Genomic DNA, 27,088 nt, shown 5'->3' on the forward strand with positions numbered 1-27,088 from the left:
CTGGGCACCAAGAGCGAAACTCCATCTCAAAAAAAAAAATGACAGAAAAATGAAAAAAGAAGAAGGAATGCAAAATAACTATTATAAAATTAGATGCCGGCCGGGCACGGTGGCTCACGCTTGTAATCCCAACAGTTTGGGAGGCCGAGGCAGGCGGATGGCCTGAGGTCAGGAGTTGGAGACTATCCTGGCCAACATGGCTAAACCCGGTCTCTACTAAAAATATAAAAATTAGCCGGGCGTGGTGGTGTGTGCCTGTAATTCCAGCTGCTCGGGAGGCTGAGACAGAAGAAACACTTGAACCCAGAAGGCGGAGGATGCAGTGAGCTGAGATTGCACCACTGCACTCCAGCCTGGGTAACAGAGCAAGACCTCCGTCTCAAAAAAAGAAAAAAATAAGGCCGGGCGTGGTGGCTCACACCTGTAATCCCAGTACTTTGGGAGGCCGAGGCAGGCGAATCACAAGGTCAGGAGTTCGAGACCAGCCTGGCCAACATGGTGAAACCCCGTCTCTACTAAAAATACAAAAAATTAGCTGGGCGTGCCGGTGGGCGCCTGTAATCCCAGCTACTTGGGAGGCTGAGGCAGGAGAATTGCTTGAACCCGGGAGGCGGAGGTTGCAGTGAGCCAAGATCGTGCCACTGCACTCCAGCCTGGAGGACAGTGCGAGACTCTGTCTCAAAAATAAATAAATAAATAAAAAGAATAAAATAAAATTAGATGCAAGAAGAAATAATAAATTAAGCATGTTTTAAAACTTGACTAATAGCACAAGCAGCACAAAATCCAGAAAATACCGAGATTTTTTATTCATAACAGCTTGCTAGGATACCCTTTCATCCACTTTTTTATTGTCTCTTTTTACAATTTTGCAATATCATCTTCCACAGAGGAAAGAGGAAGACGAAAGGTAATCCTCAGGCCCACTAGCATGGCTGGTTTTTAAAAGTGTGCTTTGCTTTACAGAAATGTACTGATGACTGGTTACATCATCCACATGGTAAAGCCTGTTGTGAAATTTGGAGGACGCTTGCTCAGGCTTCTCTCCTCTGCAGGCTGGCCAGGTTGAGGGGCTGCCTTTTTTCCCCAGGTGCTGATCCAAGCCTCCCTCTGGAATAAGCTGTATCCACCGGCTTCTCGTGAGGCTGGTGTGAGGGTCCCGCATTCTCGATGTCGTTGATGTCGGCATTTCCTGTTAAATCAGCAAGATCTTTCCTCCTCTTCCAGAAGTTCCTGCGAGTCACTCCTCTGTGTTAATTGCCATGGGTGTTGCTGGAAGCTGTTTCTACCCCAGGACGTCTGGAAGGAAGTGGCCGGGAAGGGCATGGTGGAGGCCGCTGACCCGCTGACGTCTCCACAGCCAAACGTCCCCCTGCCGGGCCCCAAAGTGCCCACTGCCTCTCCAGTGCCAGCCCAGCAAGAGAGGAAGCGGAGGCGGGGTGGGAGCCCTTGTGGTTAAGGAATTTTGGCTTAGCACCTTTTACAAAACCGTGTGCTGCCTTGGAAGGGGATCTACCAGCTTCCCGTGAATCCGTCCCACTGTGTGGACCTGCTATGCCAGTGCCATGACGTGGACCAGGCTGGCACAAGCCCTCTGCAGGTCCACCTGTTGGCAGCGCCACACTCCCTCCCGAGGCAAAGCTACTGGCCCCTTCTAGCTTCCAGAGCTGATTTCCAGAGGCCGCACACCTTTGTTCTAAAATTTGTACCTGGGCTTAGTTTTAGTCAGGTGCGGTAAGGTGGCAGACGTGGAGACAACTTCCTGCAAAGAAGATACATTACATTTCCCAAGAGAAGGGGGCACAGCACACAGGGCCACGGAGTGGAGGGAGCCCCAGTTCATGGGGGCTCTGCGGGAAGGGCAAATGAGGCAGGGTGGACACTGCCAGGTGAGATCAGGACGGGATTGGAGTTGGAGCGACTTCCCTGGGCCCTGGGCTCGGCAGCCCCTGGTCGGCCAGGACCTCGCCCTGGGGTGACTGAGGGCAGGGACACTGGCTTTGTGTGACTGTGAGAAGGAGGCACCTGTGGGCTCTGGAGGGGTGATCTCTCCAGGATCAAGACGCCCAAGGCCAGTGCATTAAGAATACAGAAAATAGGCTGGGTGCGGTGGCTCACGCCTATAATCCCAGCACTTTGGGAGGCTGAAGTGGGCAGATCACCTGAGGTCAAGAGATCGAGACCATCCTGGCCAACATGGTGAAACCCTCTCTCCACTAAAAATACAAAAATTAGCCAGGAATGGTGGCGGGCGCCTGTAGTCCCAGCTACTTGGGAGGCTGAGGCAGGAGAATCGCTTGAACCCGGGAGGTGGAGGCTGCAGTGAGCCAGGATCGCGCCACTGCACTCCAGCCTGGGCAACAAGAGCGAAACTCCATCTCAAAAAAAAAAAAAAAAAAGTGCTGTTAATACAATCAGGATGGACAGGAAGTAAAGAGGAAAAAATTCTACGCACCTTGAGATATAAGCCAGATTTTTAAGACGAAAACCAAGATTTTGTTTAAGAAAAAAAGAAGGAAGGATTACGCTGCAGACGGGCCATTCTAGGGGGCAGCTTCCCTCCCCTCCTTCCCTCTTATCAGCCAGAGACAGAAACTAAAAACCAGGGTTTAGGGCAGATGAAAGCCTAAACAGAAAGAAGGATGGGGGTCGGGAGAAAGGAAAAAACAGCAACTGCCTAGATACAAGCAGAGAAGACAAAGGCCTGATTTTGCCTGTTCTTTTACCAGGAAAAAATAACGGGTGCCTCACGGCGGGTTTTCACAATCTCGAGGCTGCCATCACCCCTTAGGCCGCACACCCTGAGACCCAGCAGGGTCTCAACCAGCGACTCCCCAGTCAGCAACCGGCCAGCGTGCGTCACGTCACGCAGACACGGCCTCTGCTCCACTCAGGGCCCGTTTCAGCCACCTGGAAGCCGCAGTTCACCGCCACCTCCAAGGACACAGCCCACCTTTTCCAGGCTGCGCCGGGACCTCCACTGACCAGGCCTTCTTCAGAGGCGCGGGCCCACGTGCATGGAGAGCACCCTCCTACTGACACGCAGTCCAGTATCTTTTCGTTCTTTTTGGGTTCTGGTGGCAACATATTCCTCGTTTCCAAATTTTACGTCCAAATAAAAACCAGCCAGGCGTGGTGGCTCATGCCTGTAATCCCAGCACTTTGGGAGGCTGAGGTGGGAGGATCACTTGAGGTCAGGAGTTCTAAACCAGCCCGGGCAAGACAGAGGGACCCTTAGCCCGGACAACAGAGAGGGACCCTATCTACAATCAATCAATCAATCAATAATTAGCCAGGCATGTGCTGCCTGCAGTCCCAGGTACTCAGGAGACTGAGGTGGGAGGCCTGCTTGAGCCTGAGAGGTCGAGGCTGTAGTGAGCCGTGATCGCGCCACTGCACTCCAGCCTAGGGGACAGAGCAAGACCCCGTCTAAAAACAAAATGCATTAAAATCTGCAGGCACTCTCGTTAGTGCTCTCAGAGACTCCACTGTAGAGGCATTGGCAGCCTCTTCTTAGCCGGCTGGCGTCTCTCAGCCACTCCTGACAGCCGTAAGCTGCCCAGCGGCTTCTGATGCAAGAACCAGCAAGAACCTGGCCTTGTGCCGTCCACTCTTTTTTTTTCTTTTTGAGACGGAGTCTCACTCTGTTGCCCAGGCTGGAGTGCAGTGGCGCGATCTCAGCTTGCTGCAAGCTCGGTGCACTTCCCGGGTTCACGCCATTCTCCTGCCTCAGCCTCCCAAGTAGCTGGGACTACAGGCACCCACCACCACACCCGGCTAATTTTTTGTATTTTTAGTAGAGACGAGTTTTCACCGTGTTAGCCAGGATGGTCTCTATCTCCTGACCTCATGATCCGCCCGTCTCGGCCTCCCAAAGTGCTGGTATTACAGGCATGAGCCAGCGCGCCTGGCCCAGTGCCGTCCACTCTTAAAACCACAAGTGACTGGCTGACCCCAGGCTCTCCTGGGACAGAGGCTGTCACAGACCCTGAGCCTCTGGCCTCATCCCCAGCTGCCTGTATGCACTGGGTCACAGGACCAGCACCCCACAAGCTCAGCTTGGCCTCAGAGAGGCCTCTCTAGGCAGGATGGAGGCAAAGCTGCCCCTTGCTGTCTTCCATCTGTGGGAGGGGGCGGCTTCCCCTGTCCTCGGTGGCTTGCCGGATGCCAAGTGTGGGAGGAGGTCACCTCCCGTAAACCCCTGGGCTGCCTGGCAAGCCCTGTGGGACCCTCTGAGCGAAGAGAAATGGGTGCGTGCGTGAGGGTACGGTGCTGCTGGCCACACTGCTGGGGAGCCCGGTGGACGGCTGCTGCTCCACCCCTGCCCGGACGCCCCCAGTGAAAGGCGGACCTGGAAGCAATGTGCCAGGCGTGGTCTCAGCCCTGAGGGCCTCCGCCGACCAGTGGCTTCTTCCCCACGTTTATTATAAGCCACTGGGCCATTGCCCAAAAGGTGTCCCCTGCAGGGTAGAGACCTGTGTGAATCTCTTGCCTCACAGAGCCCCAAAATCTAAATCGGAATCGCACACGTCTCTACACACAGCAAGGCCTTCCTCCTGGCCTGTCGTGGCCGGGTCCGTGTGTCTCCCCACACCTCACTGAAATAAACCCTGGGGACACATTTTAGAACAATCTTTCAATCTCTCCTGAGGCCGTTACAGCCTCCTCTGTGTCAAACCCCCCTCCGTCTCCCCTGTATAGGAACACTGGGATTACACTCAGGGCCCACTCGGATAACTAGAATCATCTCTACGTCTTGGATGCTTCACGGAACCATGCCTGCAGGCGCTCGCCATGTGAGGCGACAGGCGCGGGCCTGGACAGGACGGAGGGCGTCTTCAGGAGGCTCTCCTCCCCTCTCACTTCACTTTTCCCATACAGCACCTGTGCCACTCTTGCTGTAAATCCTAATTCCCCAGAAATATGTGAAACCCTGTAACATGATTGTTTTATGCGGTTACGATTCATTAGGTTTATACACAATATACCGTTTCTGTTGCTTTTGTTGGGGTTCAGAAAATGTCACCCAGAGTGAAGGCCTTGGAAGCCAGGCCTTCTCCTGCCTCCTGTCTCTGGCCCCTCATTGTCCCAGGCAGGTCGTAGAAACCTAAGCCCCTTTTCCCCAAAGCCAGCCATAAACCTAAAAGTATGACTCTAATAACTTTTCTCTGTCTTTCTGTGTAAAAACTGGCCATAAAGGAATTCTCTGGCCTGCCTTGTTTGACTGTATGTGGTCAGACCCCTATTCCGGGGCGTTGTGCCCCCACCCAGCAGGAGGGAGAGCTGCAGAGAGAGGCCTCCAGGAACCGAAGCAGATGGGCCTCGCTGGGCTCCCCCAGGAGTCTGTTAGCCTGTCAGGTCTTAACCTTTCGTCCAATCCTATTTCCAGATTCACAGAACCTGAGTATAAAAATGTGGTTTCCCCTGCGCCTTTAGGTCTTTGCTCTGAAAGCTGCTGTGTCACATAAAACTACAATCCAAGAAATCTGTGTACCCTTTTAGTGAAACTTCAGAAAGGCAGGGGAGGTTTTCCCTTCCCCCCGCACTCTTCACTTCTTCCTCTGCACCTCTGAGCTGGGATTTGGGACATCATTCTTTCTACTTGAAGAACACCATTTAATTTTGTCTTTTCTTTTTGAAACAGGGTCTCACTCTGTTGCCCAGGCTGGAGTGCAGTGACGTGATCTTGGTTCACTGCAGCCTCTGCCTCCCAGGTTAAAGCAATTCTCCTGCCTCAGCCTCCTGAGTAGCTGGGATTACAGACGCATGCCACCACGCCCGGCTAATTTTTGTATTTTTGGTAGAGACAGGGTTTCACCATGTTGGCCAGGCTGGTCTCGAACTCCTGACCTCAGGTGATCTGCCCGCCTCAGCCTCCCAAAGTGCTGGGATTACAGGCATGAGCCACCTTGCTCAGCCTAGTTGGATTTAATTTGCTGTTAAACCAATTCGTTATCAGCTTTACTGAGATATGATTTACATACAATAAAATGAAGCAAGTTCAAGTGTATCATTCAATAAATTTTTACTAAGTTTCATGAGGTTTTAATATTTTTTTCAATGTTTTCATTTTGAAAAATTTCAAACTCACAGAAAAGTTGCAATAACAGTATATAGTTTTCACCCAGGTTCACCAACTGTTAATATTTTGCTACCTTTGCTTTTATCTCAGTCTCTGTATGTAATCTAAATTTATTGTTTTGCTTTAATTTCCAGAGCAACTTTGGTTACAAATCTATTGATTCTTCACCTCTAAACCCTTCAGCATGGATCACAAATGAACAAAAAATCTCCATTCACAACCGTGATGCAATCATTGAGTCGTTTAATAATTCTGGAGTTTGACCCAGCGCGGTGGCTCATGCCTATAATCCCAGCACTTTGGGAGGCCGAGACAGGTGGATCATTCGAGGTCAGGAGGTCGAGACCAGCCTGGCCAGGATGGTAAAACGCTGTCTCTACTGAAAATACAAAAATTGGCTGGGCGTGGTGGCTCATGCCTGTAATCCCAGCTACTCAGGAGGCTGAGGCAGAGGTTGCAATGAGCTGAGATCGCACCACTGCACTCCAGCCTGGACAACAGAGTGAGACTTCGTTTAAAAAAACAAAAAACAAAAACAAAAAAAATTCTGGAGTTTATCATTGGTAGAATTTTGTTGCACAATGTACAAGGCATATTCCAAATTGTGAATGTCCCCATCATGCACTTTGTAATAATTTTTCCTGACCCGGATCCATTCCAGCACCGTGCAGTGAGGACTTCTGTCTGTTTTTGTTTTGTTTTACCTTCCTCCAGGGAAGGTGTACTTTTCTGTCCACAGGTGTCCCGGTGAGCGGCTCACCTTAATTCTCTCAGGGCTTGAGGTGATTTAAGGCTGGCTTCAGTCCCCACAAAGACAATTCTGTTGCTGGTTTACCTTTGCTTTTAGGGGATAGAACTTTGGGGTCCCAAGAAAAACCCAAAGTCTTTACCAGGCCCCCCGCCTGAGCCTCGACTTCTGTCCTGTGGCCACAGTGTGAGGAACGAACGCAGCAGCGTGTCGCCATGTCTTGTGTGGCTGGGATACGCTGCAGGGGTGTGGAGTCGCCGCCCCAAAGCGGGCCCCGCCCCCTCCCGGCTTGTCCCTGCAGAGCCCCGAGGCCTCAGAGGCTCCTCAGAGCTCCCAGTGCCCTGGACGGTTCCGTTCAGCGCTCTCCAGTTCTGATGGTTGCTCTCAGGAGGCGGCTGGTCTGAAACAATTCAGTTTCCATTGCTGTGTCCTGCACCACGGTGTGGGACTGGTGGTTTCTTACTGTTTTTCTCAGTTCTCTGACGCTTTGAGGAATTGTTTTTAAAGCGAGTTATCCATCATTTTAGTTGTTTTCTCTGGGGTCGTTGGACTGAGGGTCTTACCCCGCTGTTCCTGGAGACAGTTCTGTACTTGCATGGTTTCTCTCGCCTTTCCCTCCCTTTCTTACTTTTTAGTTTCTTAATGAATTTTTTTGTATTATGTTTTTCCTCCTTGCTAATTTGGAATATATACACACTATTTCACTTTTAAATGGCTAATCACTTTTAATGCAATTTCAACATAAGAAGACCTAATGTTAAGCAATATTTTAACCCCTCTCCCCAAAATAAAAAGACCCAGAACACTGTAACTCTAATTATCCTTCTCCCAACTTAGAGAGGATTATTGTCCAGTATTTTCGTTTTGTTAGTAGACTGTTCTTTTTTTCTTTTCTTTTTTTAGAGATGGGGTCTCATTTTGTCAACCAGGCTGGAATGTAGTGGTGTGATCATGGCCCGTCTCAGCCTTGAACTCCTAAGCTCAAGCAATCTCCCACCTCAATTTCGTGGGTAGCTGGGCCTCACAGGCATATACCATCGCATCTGGCTAAATTTTTTTTTTGTACAGATGGGGTCTTGGTACATCTCCCAGGCCGATTTCAAACTCCAGGCCTCAAGTGATCCTCCCGTGTTGGCCTGCAATTCCAAAGTGCTGGGATTGCAGGTGTGAGCCACCGCACCAAGCCTGTTCTTTCCATTATTATTTTTATACAATGTTTGCTTGGATTCACACATGCATACATGGACTACACATGTACTACAGTTGTCCCATGGTATCCTCGGGGTATTGGTTCCAGGACCCTCCCAGATACCAAAATTTGCAGGTGCTCAAGTACTTGATATAAAATGGCACAGTATTTGCACATTACCTACGCACATCCTACTGTGTAGTTTAAATCAAGATTACTTATAGTCCCTAAAACAATGTAAATGCTCTGTAAATAGCTGTTATACTGTATTGTTTTAAAATATGTATTATTTCGTATTGCTTTGGCTTTAAAACAATATTTTCAGTCTGCTTGGTTGAATCCATGGATCTGAAGCCAAGTGTAAGGAGGGCCCAGTGTGCTCTTCTGGGGTAATTCTCCTTCCTGCTAAAGCGCACGCTTTACTCAGGAGGCTGGGGTGAGAAAATCGCTGAAGCCCCGGAGATGGAGGTTGCAGTGAGCTGAGATCGCGCCACTGCACCTCAGCCTGGGCGACAAAGCAAGACTCTGTCTCAAAAACACACAAAAACAGAGAAAAACAAGACAGTAATGGCTCAACTCACATAGCACCAACGGGCGAAGCGTTCTTCTGAGCGCTTTCCGAGTCATCGGTCCTCAGAGCAGCCCCTGAGGCCCGCAAGGAAGCGGGGCTCCAAGCCCTGCCGTGCTCCCGGCTCCCCGAGGCTCCCCGAGGCCACCCAACCCCTCCCACCCGGCCATCGCCCCCTCACCAAGGCCCCGCCCCGCGGCGGCGGTCACATGGGGTGCGCGCCCAGACTCCGACCCGGAGGCGGAACCGGCAGTGCAGCCCGAAGCCCCGCAGTCCCCGAGCACGCGTGGCCATGCGTCCCCTGCGCCCCCGCGCCGCGCTGCTGGCGCTCCTGGCCTCGCTCCTGGCCGCGCCCCCGGTGGCCCCGGCCGAGGCCCCGCACCTGGTGCATGTGGACGCGGCCCGCGCGCTGTGGCCCCTGCGGCGCTTCTGGAGGAGCACAGGCTTCTGGTGAGCGCTCCGCGGCCTCCGGGACCCCCTGGCCGCACGGGGAGAGCTCGGGCGCCCCCTGACTGCGCACTGTGAGAGCTTCAGAGACCGGAGCTCCCTCCTCTGGGGCCCTGGCTCTCCCGGGCCCGCCCCCCGCCGTGTTTGTGGGTGGGTCCTCCACCTGAGTGGGCGCCGGGGCGTGAGCCTGGGCCGCCCCCTGCAGCCCAGGCCGATGCCCGGGATCCTGCTCTTTGAGGTAAACCAGGAGTCTCCCCTGGGAGTGGACGGCCCTGCAGCGGGACCTGGCCTGCCTGTCCCATTCCTTCCACCTAGAGCTGAGGTACCCGCCTTCCTGGCAGGGCCAGGGCCAGGGCTGGCGTTGGCCCCTCGTCTTACTGCTGCTGCCGTTCCCCATGAAGATGGGACCTCCCCACATTCCTGGCCCTAAGGGTCATTTTATTAGTCACTGAACGCACGGGCAGCGCCTGGATCCTGCGCCCGGGCAGTCCTGGGCTTGAACGTGTGTGTCAGCCGCGCTGCCAGCCATGCTGAGGCTCGGGACTGAGCCGCCCCTTTGTTGTCCCCAGCCCCCCGCTGCCACACAGCCAGGCTGACCAGTACGTCCTCAGCTGGGACCAGCAGCTCAACCTCGCCTATGTGGGCGCCGTCCCTCACCGCGGCATCAAGCAGGTCCGGACCCACTGGCTGCTGGAGCTTGTCACCACCAGGTGGGCGGCGGGCAGGGTCTGGGCGTCCCAGAGCCCCTTACAGAGGCACAGATGGGAGGGGAGGGCTGGGGGCTGCTCGGAAGACCCCTTGTTCCCCCACCTCCCGCCGAAGCACCCTGTTGGGGAGAGCGTGTCCTTGCTGGCTGTGCTGGGGTGAGGGCTGTGTGCTGGAGGGAGCCCCTGCATGGGGCACGGTGGGCTTCCTGCAGGTCTCCCTGCAGGCTCAGGGTTGGCTGCGCCGCACCTGGCTCCTGGTGCACCCGTGAGCATCCCTGTGTGTGTCTGCTGGCCAGGCTGGGTAGGGCCACTGCACCTGAGGGCTGAGCTGAGGTCTCATCGGTCACAGCACCCTGGGCCCTGACGCTGGTGCAGGTGGCCACCCTGTGAGGGGGAGGCACGAGGTGTGAGGGGCACTTGGGTGTGTGGGGCCTTCTGGAAACACAGAGACCCTCGTGCACTTGGCCAGAGCCGCTGGCTCCTACCAGCAGGGTGGGCACCGGGCAGGCCTGGGCATAGGGAGTCCTCTTGGCACCTTGGAGGCTGCATGATGGCGGGGGACCCTTGTTCAAATAAGATGTCAACCCTGAGCGTCAGGTCAGGCCCATCCCTCCTGAGCTGAGGGACGGTGCATTGGGGCCCAGCCAGCACTGTGGGCCAGCCTGTCTCGGAGGCAGAGGTTCTTGATTTCTGAGTGTTTGGGTCCTGCGTGTGATCAGAGGGCCTCCTTTCCCAGTTGGGGTTCCCCGGTTTCCCCAGGGCAGCTGTGGCACAAGAGTGCAGCTCTTGGGTGGCTCCTCCCTGGGAAGGGTCTCAGCAGTGGCTTGCAGACGTCTGCTGTGGGTCCCCAGGAGGGAGCAGAGGCTGCTGGGCAGGCCTGGCCCTGCTACAGATGGGCATCGGTGGCCTCCAGCTCCCTGTGGCGGGCTCGTGCTGTCTGCACGGCATCGTGCACACTGAGGAACAGCTGCTCCTCCTCAGCCGTGTCCCCGGGGCCCTCCCCGAGGAAGCCTCCTCTGCTCAGAATGTCTCTCACAGGCGGGCTGCAGCAGGCTAGCAGCAGGCTGATGCCCAGGGCCCCGTAGTCTCGGCGCAGGTCCTGCAGCGTGCTCACACCGGCTGCGTCTAGGAACAGCAGCGGGGCGCAGTCGATGACCACTGTGTGGAAGCCGGCCGCTGCGGGCACCAGCGCAGCCCTGGTGCTAACCGGGCCCAGGTCCTCGCCCTGGGCAGGGCCTCCCTCACCGACCCCCGTCTCTGAGCCCCCCTCCTTCCTCCTGGCAGCCATGCACCCTGCGTCCAGCCCCGTGAGGCTGTAGAGTGACTGCAGGAAGAAGTCCTTGTTGGCATAGTACAGCGGCCCCCCAAAGCGGAACACCCGCACGCCGGGCTCAGGGACGAGGCCCTCGAACTCTGTGGCATCCTCGTAGAAGGCCGTGTCCCCGATGCGGGCCAGCAGGGCGGTGCGTGGGCGTTGGGTGCGGCCGGCCAGGCTGAGCAGCGAGAGGATGACGCCAGCCAGCAGCCCGGCCTCTGTGCTGACCAGCATACAGGTGGCCGCGGTGCCTGCCCAGACCAGCGCGTCAGCCGGGCTCATCCGCCACAGCCGCGGGAGGTCCCACACCTTGCGCAGGGCCCCCCGCAGGCTGACCACGATGACGCAGGCCAGCACGCTTCGCTGTAGGTCGTGGAACAGCGGTGCCAGCGCCAGCAGCACCAGCAGCACCACGGTGGCGCTGACCACGCTGGACAGCTGTGTCCGGCAGCCAGTGGCTGTCTTCACCAGGCTCTTGGCCAGGGCGGCGCTGGTGGCGAAGCAGTGGAGGAAGGCGGGTAGCACGTTGCAGCAGCCCACAGCCAGCAGCTCCTGGTTGGCACGCACAGAGTAGCCGTGACTGCGGGCGAACATCTCCGCCAGCGAGATGGAGAAGGCGGCAGCCACGAGGGCCAGGGCCACGGCATCCAAAGCCACACGCTGCATCAGCCTGGGCTCTGGGACCTGAGGGGGCATGAAACCCGTGGGGATGTCGCCAGCCACGCTCGAGCCAAAGCGCTTGTGGAGCTGCCCGAAGTGCGACACGAGTGTGGCCACCACGATGACCAGCAGCTCCGTGGGCAGCGGCACCCTCAGGCGGTGTCGGTAGCGGTCTGAGAGCTCCTTCGCGGCTAGCAGCACCGCCAGGCACACCGTGCTGGTGACCACGTCGCACACGTTGGCCTGCCCGGCGCCGCGCAGCAGGCTCAGCCATGTGAGGACCACCATGCCGGGCCCCTGGTGCCGCGGGATCCGCACGCCCAGCAGGTGTTTGAGCTGCGAGGTCAGGATGGTCACGGAGGCCCCCATGGCAAAGCCATCGAGCAGTGGCTGTGAGAGGTAGGCGGACACGAAGCCCAGCCGGAGGACGCCCATGAGGACCTGTGGACGGAGTGCGGTCAGGCCAGCAGGCGCCTGGCGGGAGCCACCTGCCCCTCACCAGCACCTGGCATGGCCCGAGGGGTGGTGGTCACGGCACAGGACCTGACAATTCTGTGTTGCGGCCCCGTGTGTTCCAAACCAGACTCCTCACACGGGCCTGAGTTCTGGTTCCACGCGTGCTCATGCCCGCAGACAACTGTGACATCCACGTGAGCATCACACGTGCACACAGCTGGCCATAGACACGTCTAACCCTTGTCACGTGCAGCAGCCCGTTTTATTTCAGAATTAAGACCTCTGGTATCAGAAGGCAACCCCTTCCTGCTGCTTCCTACACATGGTGCCCACTGCCCCCCATGCAGATGTGGAGCCAACGGGGGCCAAGGTGGACAGGCCAAGGCAGGAGACCTTCGGGGGTGGGGAGGCCATCCCCCACTCCACCTAGGACAGAAGGCCTGGGAGGCCACATGGCCTCAGTCCAGCACCACTGAGCCACAGCCACACCTGGCCTGCTGGTCCCCACCAAGGCCATGGCCCACCGGACTGGCTCCCCGTGCCCCTCCCCTCCTGCATCCACAGCCTCTCCGCGTCGGTGCCTCGCCCTGGGATGCCCCGGCACGCCCCAGCTCTGCCCAAGCCTTGCTGTCTTGGGCCAGCACCTCCTCTGCCAACCCTGTGCTTGCCCCCAGCCTTGCCCTCGTGGATGGCCAAAACCTAAGGGGGGGTGCCCTGGGCCCCTCCCTGTGCCCAAGCAGGGCTCCTCACCTGGTAAAGCCCGGTCATCAGCGTGAGGGCGGTGGCGACACGGATGGCGTAGCAGTCACGCCCGCAGTCCAGCATGGCAGCCGAGCCGTTGAGGGTGCTGCTGTTGGCTCCGGGCTGCAGGCCGTCCTGGGAGGGGTCAAAGCCGGCCAGCTGGAGCTCCCGGTCCACCACCTGCCCCACCATGAGGCAAAGCAGGCTGAAGATGCCCACGGAGACATGCCGTGAGGTGCCCATGAGGAAGTAGATGAGGTTGGCGAAGAAGGACGTATAGAGGCTGTAGATGGGCTGCAGCCCGGCCAGCAATGAGTAGGCGATGGCCTGCGGCACCAGGATGATGCCGATGACCAGCCCAGACATGACGTCGCCTGCCAGGTACTCCCGCGGGCGGTACTGACGCAGCCAGCGCGTGGCGGGGAGCAGGTCCTGCACCAGCGCCCGGACGCACAGCACACTGCACGAGCAGCTGCACCACAGCCTGGCCTTCAGCATCTCACGCAGACCCCGGGGTGCTGGGCGCTGCCGTCGGACCGGCACCGGCCCTCTGCCCTGCTGCAGAGGCTCAGGGGACTCGTCCATCCTGTTGCGTCAGGTCCCGTGGCCGACCTGCGGCCGAGAAGAGGGCATGGTCACAGGAGCCCCCGGATCCAGGGCCAAACGACAAGGTCCCCGGCAGCAACGGGCCCCTTGGGGCGGACCCCTCGCCCACCCAGGGCCGGGGATTGGTGCTGGGCCTTCTCCTGGCAGCGCGGGCCCCAGCCCCCTGCCCGGTATGGATGGACGCTGGGCCCTGCTGGATCCAGAATCCATCGTGAGGTGAGATGGGATTACGACACCAAGCCCATGCCATGGGGTGTGCTGAGGCCAGCAGTGCTGAGGGGCGGCGTGGCGGCACCCTGTCCAGGCTCAGCTCCGGCCTATTGGCTCTGCGGTTCCTGGCTGAAAACCACCCTGTAGCCTCCTGAAGCTCACCTCCCCAACGGGGCAGGAACAGGCTGGGCTGCCACCACGCACATGTGCCTACCGTCAGAATGTCACAGTCACTGGACACAGGTGCAGGCAAGCCTGAGTCCAGCTGCTCCGTGTCCACCTCCCTGGCTCCCCAGGTTGGCAAACGGTCCTGCTGTCCACCCCATGCCCACACCAGAGCCCTCCCTCCCCCATCCAAACCATCGCCTGCTCTCCTGGAGACACCTCCACCCACCCCTCTGTCACCTGCCCTGTGGGTCCTGGGGCTGGCGGAAGTCTCAGGAAGAGGCCTCCTATGTCCCTGCCAAGCTTTGTGGGTACTGGGACCCCAAGTCTGCTGGGGGAGCAGCACTCAGACACTAGCCTAGCCCATCCGCCTGGACTTGGGACAGAATTCTGAGAATATGCCTGGACGGGGGCCCCATCAGGGCCAGCTGGGAGGGGAGGAGGGTGACTGGCGTCTGTCTCCCCTGCCCAGACAGTTCTGGGACGTGAGGCGCCCTTTTTCCCAGGCTGCACCAGCTCACTGTGGAACGGCCATGACACACTGTCCCGAGGCAGCACCGAGAGGGCCCAGCCCGCTGCACACAGTCACCCTGGGCCGGCAGAGCCGGAAGGGCACCTGACCTTTCCCTTGATCTCGGAAAACACCGTGGCGTTAGGGAGGCGGTGCTTAGAGGCCTGACTGGTCCCACGTGAGGCCTCGGGTCTGTCCTGTTTGCAGACTCCAATGTACTTTCACTTTAAACATTCTTCTCAGCGACGTTAGGCAAAGACTTTGCTCCCAGGACACCAGGTGCCCAGGACACCCTGGAGCCTGGGCTGAGCCTGCTGTTTGCACGCTGGCCCAGGGTGTGCGAGCTCCAGTCTCCTGGCGGGTGTGTTGGGGCAGTGAGCCCAGCCTGGTAGGTTGACACATGCAGGCTGGGCACAGCACCCCTGGGGCACAGAGCGGGGGTCCTGGCCCTCAGGCAACATTGCAAGAGTTGTGTCCCCTTCCCTGGAAGACCCCACCACACTGGGTCCCTGGATGCCCTGAAGCCCACCCCAAGCCCCTGGGGTCCAGGTGTGTGGAATGGGGACAGTAGGGCCACCTGCCTTGAGCCTGAGGGTGCCCCTAAGAAACCACGAGTCCAGGGCATTTCTGGCCTCGGCTCCCACGCCCCCCTCTGCTGCAGCTGAGATCTGGGCCCAGGATGGTTCTTACCTGAGGGAGTCCTCACAGGCGCGGAGGGCCCTGGGATGACGAGGGGCTGGCAAGACCACCGAGGACCGCAGGGCCCTCTGGCTCCCGCGAGCAGCGGGGAGAGTGGGGGTGGTGGCGCCAACCTGCAGGCAGTGGTCTGTGCCCTGGACTCTGTAGTTCAATTATTTACCTACAGATTGCTGAGTCATGGGTTTCTCCAGCCATGTTACCTGATCGGCTGATCCGGGAGTTGAACTGTAATCAGGGGCTTGTAGGAGTTAGAGCTGTGTGGGCCTCTGAGGAGCTCCCAGCCTCCCAGGAGCCGCTGCAGCTGTGGCTCTGCGGCCCTGCCGGGGGGGCTTAGGGACCAGCGGGAGGCGGGGGCTCAGGGGCTGAGCACAGGTAAACCTTCAGCTCTGGGGTCTGGGGTCGAGTGCAGCAGCCTTCAAACCCAGGCGGGGCTGAGGGAGGCTTGGTCTCCGTGTCCAGTCGCCGGACACCCTCCTGGTCCTGCAAGGAGCCAGCCTGGTCCAAGCTGGAGCAGGGCAGAGGCTGACAGCCGGCTCAGCCCAAGGCTGCCGGTGCGTGCATATGCGTGTGTGCTCGCGTAAGCCCTGTGTGTGGTGCTCACCGCCCAGGGCGAGGACTGCCGGGGTCAAGGTGCCGTGACTGGCCAGGAGTCCTGGTCTGACTGGACCCAGCACCGACCCACAGCGCCTGGTCACCCTCACGGCTCCTCTGCCCTCCCCTCTACCACAGACCAGGACCGGCAGTGCCTGCCTCATAGGGCTGGGGTGAAGATAAATGATTTTTTTAAGTGAACTAAATTAGGCCCACACGTGAAAATAAGGGTAAGCTGCTTTTTAAAAGGAATTATTAGCCAGGCACGATGGTTCACTCCTGTAATTCCAACACTTTGGGAGGCCTAGACAGGAGGATCGCTTAAGGCCAGCAGTTCAAGACCAGCCTGGTCAACATAGTGAGACGCCCCCCACCTTTTCTTTTTTTTTTTTTGAGGCGGAGTCTTGCTCTGTCACCCAGGCCGGAATGCAGTGGTGTGATCTCGGCTCACTGGAAGCTCTGCCTCCTGGGTTCACGCCATTCTCCTGCCTCAGCCTCCTGAGTAGCTGGGACTACAGGCGCCCGCCACCGCGCCCGGCTAATTTTTTTTTTTTTGAGACGGAGTTTCGCTCTGTTGCCCAGGCTGGAGTACAGTGGCATGATCTCGGCTCACTGCAAGCTCTGTCTCCCGGGTTCAAGTGATTCTCCTGCCTCAGCCTCCCGAGTAGCTGGGACTACAGGCACCCGCCACCACGCCCGGCTAATTTTTTGTATTTTTAGTAGAGACGGGGTTTCACCATGTTAGCCAGGATGGTCTTGATCTCCTGACCTCGTGATCCACCCACCTCGGCCTCCCAAAGTGCTGGGATTACAGGCTTGAGCCACTGCACCCGGCCGCCCCCTGCCCCCCAACCTTTAAAAAATTAAAAGTAAAAAATTAGCTGGGTGTGGTGGTGTGTGCCTGTATCCCAGCTACTCAAGCGGCTCAGGTGGGAGCATGGCTTGAGCCCAGGAGTTTGAGGCTGCCATGAGGTATGATTAGGCCACTGCACCCTATCCTAGGCCACAGAGCAAGAGCCCGTCTCAAAAACAAACGCTGTCATTGGCCCAGCACTTTGGGAAGCTAAGGTAGGAGGATTGCTTGAGCCCTGGAGGTCCAGGCTGCAGTGAGGTATGTTTGTAGCGCTTCACTCCAGCCTACAAGTCTTTTTTTTTTTTTTTTGAGATGGAGTCTCGCTCTGTTGCCCAGGCTGGAGTGCAGTGGCACAATCTCGGCTCACTGCAGCCTCTGCCTCCCGGGTTCAAGCGATTCTCCTGCCTCAGCCGCCTGAGTAGTTGGGACTACAGGCGTGTGCCACCACGCCCGGCTAATTTTTGTATTTTTAGTAGAGACAGGGTTTCACTATGTTGGTCAGGCTAGTCTTGAACTCCTGACCTTGTGATCCACCCGCCTCGGCCTCCCAAAGTGCTGGGATTACAGGCGTGAGCCACCGTGCCCGGCCAGTTCTGTCTCAAAAAAAAAAAAAAAATTCCTTGGGAGCCTCAGGTCCCCCCGACTTTGACAGTGAGTACTGGGTGGGAGCCTGCACGGGGCACCTGTGGCCGGAGGGTGAGTGTAACGAGGGGCTGCAGCCCTCAGTGCTCTCCCATCCCAAGGGAGGCCAGGAGGCTGCGGTGGGTCCCTCGGGTGGGGCTGGAAGGCCAACCCGGCCCTGGCACCTTGGGCAGCCTGACTCTGTCCGGGGAACAGAAGCCACAGGCTCTACTTCTCCTGTCCATGTGGGATTGAAGCCGAGGGTCTCGCAGAACCAGCTGATGTGCCGGGGCTCCATTTCCCCAAGACGAGGACACTGACATTGATGGGGCACAGCCCCGGAGGGAGGAGACCCTGGACACTCACCCCACCAAAGGTACCTCCTTGTGGAAGCCGTCTGCCAAGCGCTGCTAGTTCCCCACAGCCCTGGGTGAGCCCAGGGAAGACTGGGCTGCAGTGCCCCCATTTGGAGGTGAAATGGGAGTGGAATGTAGTTGGGATGGCCAGAGAGTAGGAGACATCCTAAGTGTGAGATGTGGACAGGGCTGAATGCTCCAGGGTCTCGTACCCCAGAGTGTGAGATGCGGGCAGGGCTGAACGCTCTGGGGTCTCGTACCCCTGAGTGTGAGATTCGGGCAGAGCTGAACAGGCTCCAGGGTCTCATACCCCCATAGCCTCCACCTGGGATGCCCTCTCCAAGTCTGATTTCTCCTCGAAGCCCCTGCCCTGTCCTCCAGAGTCTGAGCCCTTGCTTCCACCCCAGCCCAACCTGGGCCCCAGTGGTCCCTGGGAAGCAGCTGTTTGCTCAGCAGTTGGGAGCTGTGCTGTAAGAAGCGGTTGGCCAGTGGGTGGGGTAAGGCAGTCACGCAGGGCCTCAGGTCCCTCCCTGGGACAGATAAGGGCCCCTCTGGGTGCAGCCACCAGCAGGGTTGTTGGAGAACTGGGGAGACCCAGGGGGCTGGGGTTGTTCCCTCAAGGTCTCCCTAAAGGAGGCAGGGAGGACCTGGGTGCTACAGCAGGGGTGGGGCACCTGGTGCAGACGCCTGCATGCAGGGTGGGGTGGGCAGTGCCACCTGGGGCCACAGAAAAACCTGGAGTGGGAGGTGGCCCTTCCCCCCTCAGGAAAGGTGGTGGAGGTTTCCAGAGGCTGGCTTATGGGGACCTGTGGTGAGGTTTTAGGCAGGTGAGCGTAGTTCAGGAACAGCCTCAGCCGCACTGCAGGGGCCTGGCCTCAGGTCTTCTGCAGGCATTGGGCCTTATGCCCTTTTAGTCCCCACCTAGGCTGGGTGTCTAAAGTAGGTGAGGTCATCACTGCAGGATCCTTGGGGCCTGACCTGCCCCCTCCCACGTGTCTCTGCCTCAGTTTCTCTGAGCATTGAGGCAGTGGCTGGTGCTGTCCTGTGGCCAGGCCCAGAGGCTGAGTGCCCAGGGGGTCCAGGGGCCTTGCTGGCCAGAGAGAGTGGGTAGCCCATTCTACCCCGAGCCTGTGCACGCGCAGGGCTGCCAACACCTCCTTCCTTCCCCGCTTGGCCCACGCAGGACAGGGGGCGTGGGGGCCCCAGCAACTGGGACCTGCCTGAATCCGCCTCCCTCCTGAACCCCCCTCCCGCCTGAACCCCTGGCCAGTCTTGTGTCACACGCTTACTTCCTTAGTTTTGTCTTTAAATCAGCCGTTTTACATTGGAGTCCATTTACTGGGAAAGGAGACCTTGCATCCTTGCCTCCCACCCGTGGGAAGAAGCCCGGCCGACAGGGCTTTGAGACCGGACCCGAGTTTATTCCCAGAGACCCTCCCGCGGGTGGGCGAGCTCCGAGGTCTGGAGAAGAGGAGGCCCCGGCCCGCACCCTCTAGCACCTGTGTCCCCTTCGTCCCGGCCACAGATGCAGGTTCTCCCAAGAGGCGGGTCTGTACCCGCCCCGCGCCCCCAGCCCAGCGGGCCCGGCCTCCGCCCCTGCCCCGCACTCCCACCCCCACCCTCAGGAGAGCGCGGCCCTGCTCCCCACCCCGCGCGGTCTCCCCCCACCGCCTGCGAACCCCCATGCACGCGCGGCCCCGCCCCGCGCACTCACCAGGCCCGGCAGCCGCGCGGTCTTAGCGGCTCACGCGCTCGGGCCCAGGGGCGGGGACGTGGGGACCCGGGCGGCCGCTCAGCCGCGGCCGCGCGGTGAATGAGCCCGTTGTGCGGCCGCCGCGGCCCCAGCGACACCCCGCGCGGGGTCTACAAGGGCTGACGCGCCCCCGCGGCTTCCGTTCCCGGGCTGGGCGGTGGCTCGTCTGCGTCTCCGGCCCTGGGGGTGGGCTGCGCGCTCCATCTCGCCGGCCCAGTCCCCTCCCCAGCGTCGGTCTCTCAAGGCCCCTCCCAATGGGGGCCAGGCGGAGGGTGGGCCCTCGGGCCTGTGGACTGACCCCGGGGTTCCTGGGCCTGGGGGCGGGGATCCCTGTCCCGGGCTCCCCTCGCTGCGAGGCTGGCCCTGCCAGATGACACTCAGAGGCGCCTTGGGTGTCAGGCCAGGGACATCTCTGATGCTGGGGCTCCCCCCGCTAGGGTCAGGGGCTGCCGGGCTATCGCCTTGGGGTTCTGCAGAGAAAACCTGAAGCCCAGCTGGGTCTTCACTTTCCTCCAGGTCACCGTGCCCCGCTACTCCAACTCCGTGGGACTTTGGAATGCACCTTCTGGGCATTTAATTCTTATCCAAGTGCCTCTTAAGTTATACTTCTTTGCTACCAGTGTGTCCTTTGGATGGAGGGGAGGAGAGGTGGTAGGGGCCGGGTGGGGTGGACCCCAGGGACTCCTGCTGCTCCTGCTGGACACCCAGCCCGGGGTACAGGAGCAGGTGGGGACCAGCAGAGGCGGGGCGGAGCAGGAGCCCACACCCAAAGGCTGTAGACTCCTGCCAAGGCTCTGCCTTGATCTTGTACACCATGGGAGGACCAGAAGGGAGGCGTTGAGGTGTCCAGACCTTTGCTGTGGAGCTGGGGGTGCTGTGGCATGGGGAGACTGACAGACGGGGAGCTGTATAGGGCCAGATTCCGGTCCATGGTGGTAACCCCATCCCCCACCACTGCAGATGCGGCACAAAGCCAGCTGCCACAGGAGGTGCACTGCCCCACGGGCAGCTGTGCTCACCTGCGTGGCGTCCGCAGGAAGCCCTCAGACCCTGGCCAGCCTGGTCTCTGCTTCTCACTCCAGGCTCAAGGCTGGCTGCTATTCCATTCACCCCATTCCCTTTCCCTCAGGCCAGAAGCATCACTCACAACTCCAGACCCTTGCACACCAATCTCCTCACTCAGTTCACCCTCAGATGTCCAACTCCACATGGCCAAAACCGAGACCAGTCTCACTCCAAGCTCATCCACCCGCCTAGCTGCCCAAGCTGAAATCCACAGTTGCCCTGTACGACCCCCCGACCCCCCACCTCACCCCCCAGCTCACCTCAAACCTCATCAGTCCCTCTGCTCACAGCCTGCACAGCCACCACCCAGTCTGGGCACCATACCTCTCTGGGCAACCCCCATGGCCCCCAGCCAGTCTTCCAGCTCCCACCCTGACTCCAGTGAGCTGCCAGAGGGATCCTTGAAAAATGCTCTGGAAGCCAAGGTGGGCGGATCACGAGGTCAGGAAATGGAAACCATCCTGGCTAACATGGTGAAACTCCGTCTCTACTAAAAATACAAAAAAATTAGCCGGGCGTGGTGGCGGGCGCCTGTAGTCCCAGCTACTCAGGAGGCTGAGGCAGGAGAATGGTGTGAACCCGGGAGGGGGAGCTTGCAGTGAGCCGAGATCGCGCCACTGCACCCCAGGCTGGGCAACAGAGTGAGACTCTGTCTCAAAAAAAAAAAAAAGAAAAAAGAAAAATGCCCTGGCACTGCTCAGCTCAGAACCTTGAAAGGGATCCTTGTTTCGCTCTGGGTCAGGGTCCCATCCTCAAAGCAGTCACTTCCAGAGCCCCATGGAGCCTCATATCCCATGATATCCACCCTTATTCTGTCTCAGGCCCACCAGCTGCCTCCCTGCTGCCTGATTGTCATGTGTGCATTCCTGTTCCAGAGCCTTTGCACTGGCGATGCCATCTGCTGCCTGGATGTCTTCCTGCTGGCTGGTCCCGTTGCATGGTAGCCTTAGGTGTCTCCTCAGAGAGGTCCCTCGCTGACCATCAGGCTCCTCACTCCCTGTCGTATCCCCTTCACCAAAGATTCCCATTCCCTGACGACGCCTGTCCCCTCGGAATGCAGGCCTCGTGGGAATTCAGCCCATCCGCAAGTGCAGTGGCAGGGCGGCCCCCTTCCCCCTTGACGACGCCTGTCCCCTTGGAATGCAGGCCTCGTGGGAATTCAGCCCATCTGCAAGTGCAGTGGCAGGGCGGCCCCCTTCTCCCTTGAGGACGCCTGTCCCCTCGTAATGCAGGCCTCGTGGGAATTCAGCCCATCTGCAAGTGCAGTGGCAGGGCGGCCCCCTTCTCCCTTGAGGACGCCTGTCCCCTCGTAATGCAGGCCTCGTGGGAATTCAGCCCATCTGCAAGTGCAGTGGCAGGGCGGCCCCCTTCTCCCTTGAGGACGCCTGTCCCCTCGGAATGCAGGCCTCGTGGGAATTCAGCCCCATCTGCAAGTGCAGTGGCAGGGCGGCCCCCTTCTCCCTTGACGACGCCTGTCCCCTCGGAATGCAGGCCTCGTGGGAATTCAGCCCCATCGGCAAGTGCAGTGGCAGGGCGGCCCCCTTCACCCTTGACGACGCCTGTCCCCTCGGAATGCAGGCCTCATGGGAATTCAGCCCATCTGCAAGTGCAGTGGCAGGGTGGCCCCCTTCTCCCTTTCCTGTGCACTCATGTTGCCTCTTGGGGTGTGGGAGGGGAAATGGGGCACTCCTGGGCCTCCAGGAGGTGCAGAGAACCAGGGTGAGGTGTCCACCAGGTCCTGCCTGGCTCCTGACCCCTGGCCCCTGCTGCTCGCGACTGGCCTGCCTCGTGCCACTGAGCCTCAGAGCCATTCCGAACCCCCACCCCAAGTTTTCCATCTCTTGATGGTGTAGGGTTGGGGGGTCTCCATGTACAGATACTCTAGTTCATACCAGGCCTTCATAGGGTTATTTTCCAAGGGGAAGGGCCCCTCGGGAAGCCGGGATCGGAGTCCTGTGTGGCACCTTGCAGGCTCCCACATGCTCCGTTGTGGCCACGGTTCCAGCCTGGAGCATGGAGCTGTGTGGGCACCCTGCTTCCTGACGCTGACCGTCCTTCTGCAGGGGGTCCACTGGACGGGGCCTGAGCTACAACTTCACCCACCTGGACGGGTACCTGGACCTTCTCAGGGAGAACCAGCTCCTCCCAGGTGAGCTGTGGGCTCTGCCCTCCCAGCCCGCCTGCACCCCCTTGCCCTGCCCACCCTCTCCCTCACCCAGCCCCTCTGAGTCCTTGGATGTCCATTCAGGGCTGGCCTTGGTGCCGGAGCACAGGCCTGGCAGAGCATGGGTGTGGTGTGTGGTGGGCGGTGGGGCAGCCCTCCTGTGTTCCAGGGTTTGAGCTGATGGGCAGCGCCTCGGGCCACTTCACTGACTTTGAGGACAAGCAGCAGGTGTTTGAGTGGAAGGACTTGGTCTCCAGCCTGGCCAGGAGATACATCGGTGGGCGAGCGCAGGCCCTGGGGCCCTGGCCGGGGCGGGGGTACTCCTGGGCAGGTTGCACCCCTATCACGCAGGCTGCTGCCTGGTCAGGAGATACATTGGTGGGCAGGCGCAGGCCCTTGTGGGGGGATGGGGGTGACAAGGGATAGGTTGGTGGTCGGCGCAGGCCCTGGGGCCCCAGGCTGGGGGGTACTCCTGGGCTTGGTGGGTGGGCGAAGGCCCTGGGCCCCTGGGGTGGGGGGTACTCCTGGGCAGGCTGCACCCCTATCACCCAGGCCGCACCCCTATCACCCAGGCCGCCGCCCAGGTCTTGGACCCCCTTGAGCCAGCGCTTCCTGATGTGGGGCGGGAGGCTGGCCTGCATGGAGATGGGGTTCATCTTGAGTCAGACGCCCTTCATCACCTTGCACCCTCCCTCCGTGGGAGTCACTGAGGCGAGATTCACCTGTGCTGGGGGGACAGCAAGGCTCCTCTGCAGGTAGGTACGGACTGGCGCATGTTTCCAAGTGGAACTTCGAGACGTGGAATGAGCCAGACCACCACGACTTTGACAACGTCTCCATGACCATGCAAGGTGTGCACCGCTTCCTGGGGTCCTGCCCGGCTGAAAGGGGGCAGAGGAAGGCAGGAGCAGAGGCTAAGCCGCTCATCCCCAGGGCAGGTGTAGACGCAGTGCTCCCCCGGCCCAGGCTTCCTGAACTACTACGATGCCTGCTCGGAGGGTCTGCGCGCCGCCAGCCCCGCCCTGCGGCTGGGAGGCCCCGGCGACTCCTTCCACACCCCACCGCGATCCCCGCTGAGCTGGGGCCTCCTGCGCCACTGCCACGACGGTACCAACTTCTTCACTGGGGAGGCGGGCGTGCGGCTGGACTACATCTCCCTCCACAGGAAGGTGCGCCCTGCCCCTCCGTCCGCCCCGGTGTTCTGCGCCCTCAGCCGCTGTGCCCCGGGCCGCGCTGACCCTGGTGGTGCTGAGGCGGCCCCGCCCGCAGGGTGCGCGCAGCTCCATCTCCATCCTGGAGCAGGAGAAGGTCGTCGCGCAGCAGATCCGGCAGCTCTTCCCCAAGTTCGCGGACACCCCCATTTACAACGACGAGGCGGACCCGCTGGTGGGCTGGTCCCTGCCACAGCCGTGGAGGGCGGACGTGACCTACGCGGCCATGGTGGTGAAGGTGGGCCGGCCCAACGCCCTGCGCGCCCCCCGGCCACCTTCCTCCCGAGACGGGACAGGCGAGCGGTGGCCGCGCCACCCGGTCCCAGCTGCCCTGGACACCCGCAGGTCATCGCGCAGCATCAGAACCTGCTACTGGCCAACACCACCTCCGCCTTCCCCTACGCGCTCCTGAGCAACGACAATGCCTTCCTGAGCTACCACCCGCACCCCTTCGCGCAGCGCACGCTCACCGCGCGCTTCCAGGTCAACAACACCCGCCCGCCGCACGTGCAGCTGTTGCGCAAGCCGGTGCTCACGGCCATGGGGCTGCTGGCGCTGCTGGGTGAGCCGGGGCCGCTGGGGTGGGCCGGCCAGGGCCCTCCAGGCTGGGGAGCGGCTCCTGCGAAGGCCCCGCTGCGGGGAGCGCACTTCCTCCAGCCGCGCGCTTCCCGGGGTCGGCCTCCGCGTGGCGGGGCCTGGGGACTCCTTCACCAAGGGGAGGGGGAGCGAGTGGTGGGAGGCCCGGCCCTGGGTCGGGGGGCGGCTGGGCAACGACCCCACGCGGCGACGGCCCCCCCCCGCCCCGCAGATGAGGAGCAGCTCTGGGCCGAAGTGTCGCAGGCCGGGACCGTCCTGGACAGCAACCACACGGTGGGCGTCCTGGCCAGCGCCCACCGCCCCCAGGGCCCGGCCGACGCCTGGCGCGCCGCGGTGCTGATCTACGCGAGCGACGACACCCGCGCCCACCCCAACCGCAGCGTCGCGGTGACCCTGCGGCTGCGCGGGGTGCCCCCCGGCCCGGGTAAGCCGGGGTTCCAGGGAGGTCTCTGGCCCCGCTGGGGCTCTGGAGGGGGCGGCCCGGGGAGCCGAGGCCTGAGTGTCAGGCCCCGCAGGCCTGGTCTACGTCACGCGCTACCTGGACAACGGGCTCTGCAGCCCCGACGGCGAGTGGCGGCGCCTGGGCCGGCCCGTCTTCCCCACGGCAGAGCAGTTCCGGCGCATGCGCGCGGCTGAGGTAGGTGGGCCGCGGAGGGGCGAGGGGCCGGGCCGGGCCGGGGTCCCGGGGGGGTGGGGTCCGGGGCGGGGGCTCCGAGGCGGTGTGGGTGGGAGGTGGAGCGGTGGGCCGGGGGCGTTCGCCCTGAGGTCGGGCCGAGCGTCCCCAGCTCCCCTGGAGAACCCTGAGGACCGGCCACTGCGCCCAGGACCCGGTGGCCGCGGCGCCCCGCCCCTTACCCGCCGGCGGCCGCCTGACCCTGCGCCCCGCGCTGCGGCTGCCGTCGCTTTTGCTGGTGCACGTGTGTGCGCGCCCCGAGAAGCCGCCCGGGCAGGCAAGTGGCAGTCCCCTAACCCGCGCCGCGGCCCGGACTCCCCTTCCCCGACGCCATCACAGCCCTTCCCTCCCCCAGGTCACGCGGCTCCGCGCCCTGCCCCTGACCCAAGGGCAGCTGGTTCTGGTCTGGTCGGATGAACACGTGGGCTCCAAGTGCGTGAGTGGGGCCGCCCCTCCCTCTGCCTGGTCCTAGGCAGGTCCCTGGGTCCCGACCCCTTCACCCATGCGGTCACTCGGGCCACTTGCCGTGGCCCATCGGCTCCCTCCCTCGCCGCCCTGCGTCCCTGCCCTTCACCCCACACACTGTGGGCCACGCGCCAGGCCCTGCCAGTGGGGTGTGGGTTCTCCTAGGGGACATGAGATGGACATTCGGGCTCCAGCCCTCTCCTGCCTGGGCAGGAAGAGTGCCCAGGGGCTGGGGAGGTGCCGCCGAGGGGCTTGAGGGAATGAGGCTGTGGGTCCACGCGGCCGTGCCCTGCCTGCTCCCACCTTTGAGGACTGTCTTGACCCCAGCCTTGTTCTTGGCCTGACCTCCCCAGGTGCCTGTGGACATACGAGATCCAGTTCTCTCAGGACGGTAAGGCGTACACCCCGGTCAGCAGGAAGCCATCGACCTTCAACCTCTTTGTGTTCAGCCCAGGTGCGCCCACCACCCGCTGCCCTGGACTCGGCCACCCCATTCTTGGGCCTCAGGGCAGTACTGGGTGGGGGCCTCGAGAAGCCTGGGGTCAGGGGGCTTTCGGGTGGGGGCAGGTTCCGGTTGGCACACATGTCCCCTTGTCTCCAGACACAGGTGCTGTCTCTGGCTCCTACCGAGTTCGAGCCCTGGACTACTGGGCCCGACCAGGCCCCTTCTCGGACCCTGTGCCGTACCTGGAGGTCCCTGTGCCAAGAGGGCCCCCATCCCCGGGCAATCCATGAGCCTGTGCTGAGCCCCAGTGGGTTGCACCTCCACCGGCAGTCAGCGAGCTGGGGCTGCACTGTGCCCATGCTGCCCTCCCATCACCCCCTTTGCAATATATTTTTATATTTTATTATTTTCTTTTATATCTTGGTACCAACGCCCCCTTTAAAGCGGCTTTGCACAGGTCAGTCTCGGGTTGAGGCTCTGTGGCTTGGCCCTGGGCACATTCCAGGGCAGCCTCCAAGGGTAAACCCCGGTGGCTGATGAGGACCCAGCTGGAGCGAGGCCTCTTTCCCCCTCGCTCCCACTCAGACCACCCCCAAGCCTGGACTGGAAGTGTGTTGAGCCCCTGGGTCAGGCTGGCGAGCCAGCTCGGCCCTGCCCACCCAGGGGTTTCCGAGATCACCCCTGGTGAGGCGGCGTGCCAGTCCCTTGCTTTCTTACTTGTTCTGCAGAGCGGGGAGCTGAGGCTGCATGAGGGAAGACTCCCGTACCCCAGCACGGTGGAGGGTGGGATGGGGTCACGCCTGTGCGACCCAGGAGGTGGCCAGCAGAAGGAAACAGTAGTGTCCACCATGGTCTGCGTCTCCCCACCACGGATTGTCTTGGCTCCGGATTTGAGACATGGCAGGGCCAGATGAGGACAACTTGATGACAGTTTACAGAGATGGAGGCAGGGTGCCAGGAAGCCACGGGGGAGCCCCCAGGGCACTCAGCAGTCCAGGCAGGGCTGGGCGTCCTGGCAAGGAGCAGGGACCTTCTGCCCAGGGGTGTGGCCAGCCTGTGGGTGCTGTGTGCAGGACCCCAGGAACCAAGGCCGCAGTCTCTTCCCTCGCTCCAGCATCCTCCCAAGGCCACCCTTGGCTGCACTCAGCCAGAGAGCTGGGGCACAGGGACCCCACAGGTTTCCCTGGAGG

General features: G+C 60.6%; 3 protein-coding genes across 9 annotated transcripts, besides 10 other annotated features; 2 read left to right on the plus strand and 1 right to left on the minus strand.

The window, feature by feature from the left end:
* On the minus strand, window positions 786-15,199 carry SLC26A1 (solute carrier family 26 member 1). 4 transcript variants are annotated; one of them, NM_213613.4, is made up of 4 exons: window positions 15,096-15,199; window positions 14,516-14,730; window positions 12,923-13,525; window positions 9,452-12,157 (listed from the first exon to the last, which is right to left on the minus strand). In NM_213613.4, exons 3-4 carry the CDS (start codon window positions 13,496-13,498, stop codon window positions 10,628-10,630), a joined length of 2,106 nt encoding a protein of 701 aa, NP_998778.1. In that variant the 5' UTR covers window positions 13,499-13,525; window positions 14,516-14,730; window positions 15,096-15,199; the 3' UTR covers window positions 9,452-10,627. The 4 variants fall into 4 exon arrangements, 3 of the variants coding, with proteins under 3 accessions (NP_602297.1, NP_998778.1, NP_071325.2); XR_007096347.1 differs by lacking the exons at window positions 14,516-14,730; window positions 15,096-15,199 and adding an exon at window positions 786-1,299 and having other exon boundaries at window positions 8,601-12,157; NM_134425.4 differs by lacking the exons at window positions 9,452-12,157; window positions 14,516-14,730 and adding an exon at window positions 830-1,299.
* Window positions 1,457-2,037: an enhancer, noted in NCBI's record as "H3K4me1 hESC enhancer chr4:973450-974030 (GRCh37/hg19 assembly coordinates)". NCBI's record gives its function as "activates a minimal SCP1, AML or CMV promoter by ChIP-STARR-seq in naive H9 embryonic stem cells {active_cell/tissue: H9 hESC(naive)}" and the evidence as "EXISTENCE:reporter gene assay evidence [ECO:0000049][PMID:30033119]".
* Window positions 7,201-7,250: an enhancer, noted in NCBI's record as "active region_21141". NCBI's record gives its function as "activates an Ori minimal core promoter by ATAC-STARR-seq in GM12878 lymphoblastoid cells {active_cell/tissue: GM12878}" and the evidence as "EXISTENCE:reporter gene assay evidence [ECO:0000049][PMID:35858748]".
* Window positions 8,426-8,485: an enhancer, noted in NCBI's record as "active region_21142". NCBI's record gives its function as "activates an Ori minimal core promoter by ATAC-STARR-seq in GM12878 lymphoblastoid cells {active_cell/tissue: GM12878}" and the evidence as "EXISTENCE:reporter gene assay evidence [ECO:0000049][PMID:35858748]".
* Window positions 8,696-9,345: a silencer, noted in NCBI's record as "silent region_15116". NCBI's record gives its function as "represses an Ori minimal core promoter by ATAC-STARR-seq in GM12878 lymphoblastoid cells {active_cell/tissue: GM12878}" and the evidence as "EXISTENCE:reporter gene assay evidence [ECO:0000049][PMID:35858748]".
* On the plus strand, window positions 8,792-26,359 carry IDUA (alpha-L-iduronidase). 4 transcript variants are annotated; one of them, NR_110313.1, is made up of 14 exons: window positions 8,792-9,037; window positions 9,604-9,744; window positions 22,407-22,492; window positions 22,677-22,784; window positions 23,263-23,358; window positions 23,474-23,676; window positions 23,777-23,956; window positions 24,064-24,280; window positions 24,527-24,739; window positions 24,831-24,952; window positions 25,140-25,265; window positions 25,344-25,424; window positions 25,807-25,907; window positions 26,055-26,352. NR_110313.1 is itself a non-coding variant. In NM_000203.5 (14 exons), exons 1-14 carry the CDS (start codon window positions 8,880-8,882, stop codon window positions 26,186-26,188), a joined length of 1,962 nt encoding a protein of 653 aa, NP_000194.2. In that variant the 5' UTR covers window positions 8,839-8,879; the 3' UTR covers window positions 26,189-26,359. The 4 variants fall into 4 exon arrangements, 3 of the variants coding, with proteins under 3 accessions (XP_047271606.1, NP_000194.2, NP_001350505.1); NM_000203.5 differs by having other exon boundaries at window positions 8,839-9,037; window positions 25,344-25,420; window positions 26,055-26,359; NM_001363576.1 differs by lacking the exons at window positions 8,792-9,037; window positions 9,604-9,744 and adding an exon at window positions 21,505-21,859 and having other exon boundaries at window positions 25,344-25,420.
* Window positions 9,128-9,305: a silencer, noted in NCBI's record as "fragment chr4:981121-981298 (GRCh37/hg19 assembly coordinates)". NCBI's record gives its function as "represses an EF-1alpha promoter that drives an FKBP-Casp9 reporter gene in an ReSE screen in K562 erythroleukemia cells {active_cell/tissue: K562}" and the evidence as "EXISTENCE:reporter gene assay evidence [ECO:0000049][PMID:32094911]".
* Window positions 11,066-11,567: an enhancer, noted in NCBI's record as "H3K4me1 hESC enhancer chr4:983059-983560 (GRCh37/hg19 assembly coordinates)". NCBI's record gives its function as "activates a minimal SCP1, AML or CMV promoter by ChIP-STARR-seq in primed H9 embryonic stem cells {active_cell/tissue: H9 hESC(primed)}" and the evidence as "EXISTENCE:reporter gene assay evidence [ECO:0000049][PMID:30033119]".
* Window positions 11,568-12,067: an enhancer, noted in NCBI's record as "H3K4me1 hESC enhancer chr4:983561-984060 (GRCh37/hg19 assembly coordinates)". NCBI's record gives its function as "activates a minimal SCP1, AML or CMV promoter by ChIP-STARR-seq in primed H9 embryonic stem cells {active_cell/tissue: H9 hESC(primed)}" and the evidence as "EXISTENCE:reporter gene assay evidence [ECO:0000049][PMID:30033119]".
* Window positions 14,536-15,347: an enhancer, noted in NCBI's record as "H3K27ac-H3K4me1 hESC enhancer chr4:986529-987340 (GRCh37/hg19 assembly coordinates)". NCBI's record gives its function as "activates a minimal SCP1, AML or CMV promoter by ChIP-STARR-seq in primed H9 embryonic stem cells {active_cell/tissue: H9 hESC(primed)}" and the evidence as "EXISTENCE:reporter gene assay evidence [ECO:0000049][PMID:30033119]".
* Window positions 15,348-16,159: an enhancer, noted in NCBI's record as "H3K27ac-H3K4me1 hESC enhancer chr4:987341-988152 (GRCh37/hg19 assembly coordinates)". NCBI's record gives its function as "activates a minimal SCP1, AML or CMV promoter by ChIP-STARR-seq in naive H9 embryonic stem cells {active_cell/tissue: H9 hESC(naive)}" and the evidence as "EXISTENCE:reporter gene assay evidence [ECO:0000049][PMID:30033119]".
* LOC124900646 (uncharacterized) lies at window positions 20,160-21,550 on the plus strand. Its single transcript, XM_047416476.1, has 2 exons — window positions 20,160-20,784; window positions 21,219-21,550. The coding sequence occupies exons 1-2, from the start codon at window positions 20,160-20,162 to the stop codon at window positions 21,548-21,550; spliced, it is 957 nt and encodes a 318-aa protein (XP_047272432.1).
* Window positions 25,007-25,564: an enhancer, noted in NCBI's record as "H3K27ac-H3K4me1 hESC enhancer chr4:997000-997557 (GRCh37/hg19 assembly coordinates)". NCBI's record gives its function as "activates a minimal SCP1, AML or CMV promoter by ChIP-STARR-seq in naive H9 embryonic stem cells {active_cell/tissue: H9 hESC(naive)}" and the evidence as "EXISTENCE:reporter gene assay evidence [ECO:0000049][PMID:30033119]".

This window comes from Homo sapiens, chromosome 4, assembly GCF_000001405.40.
Source record: "Homo sapiens chromosome 4, GRCh38.p14 Primary Assembly".
Lineage (NCBI taxonomy): Eukaryota > Metazoa > Chordata > Mammalia > Primates > Hominidae > Homo > Homo sapiens.

Bases quoted from the DNA above. Each gene is read 5' to 3' on its own strand.
- IDUA (NM_000203.5), top strand. From the start codon at position 8,880: ATGCGTCCCCTGCGCCCCCGCGCCGCGCTGCTGGCGCTCCTGGCCTCG. The intron at 23,957-24,063 runs GTGGGCCGGCCC...GGACACCCGCAG, and splicing joins ACGCGGCCATGGTGGTGAAG to GTCATCGCGCAGCATCAGAA. The intron at 25,421-25,806 runs GTGCGTGAGTGG...TGACCTCCCCAG, and splicing joins GATGAACACGTGGGCTCCAA to GTGCCTGTGGACATACGAGA.
- SLC26A1 (NM_022042.4), bottom strand. From the start codon at position 13,498: ATGGACGAGTCCCCTGAGCCTCTGCAGCAGGGCAGAGGGCCGGTGCCG. The intron at 12,158-12,922 runs GTGAGGAGCCCT...CTCCGTCCACAG, and splicing joins TGATGACCGGGCTTTACCAG to GTCCTCATGGGCGTCCTCCG.
- LOC124900646 (XM_047416476.1), top strand. From the start codon at position 20,160: ATGGGGAGACTGACAGACGGGGAGCTGTATAGGGCCAGATTCCGGTCC. The intron at 20,785-21,218 runs GTCAGGAAATGG...TTCCTGTTCCAG, and splicing joins CAAGGTGGGCGGATCACGAG to AGCCTTTGCACTGGCGATGC.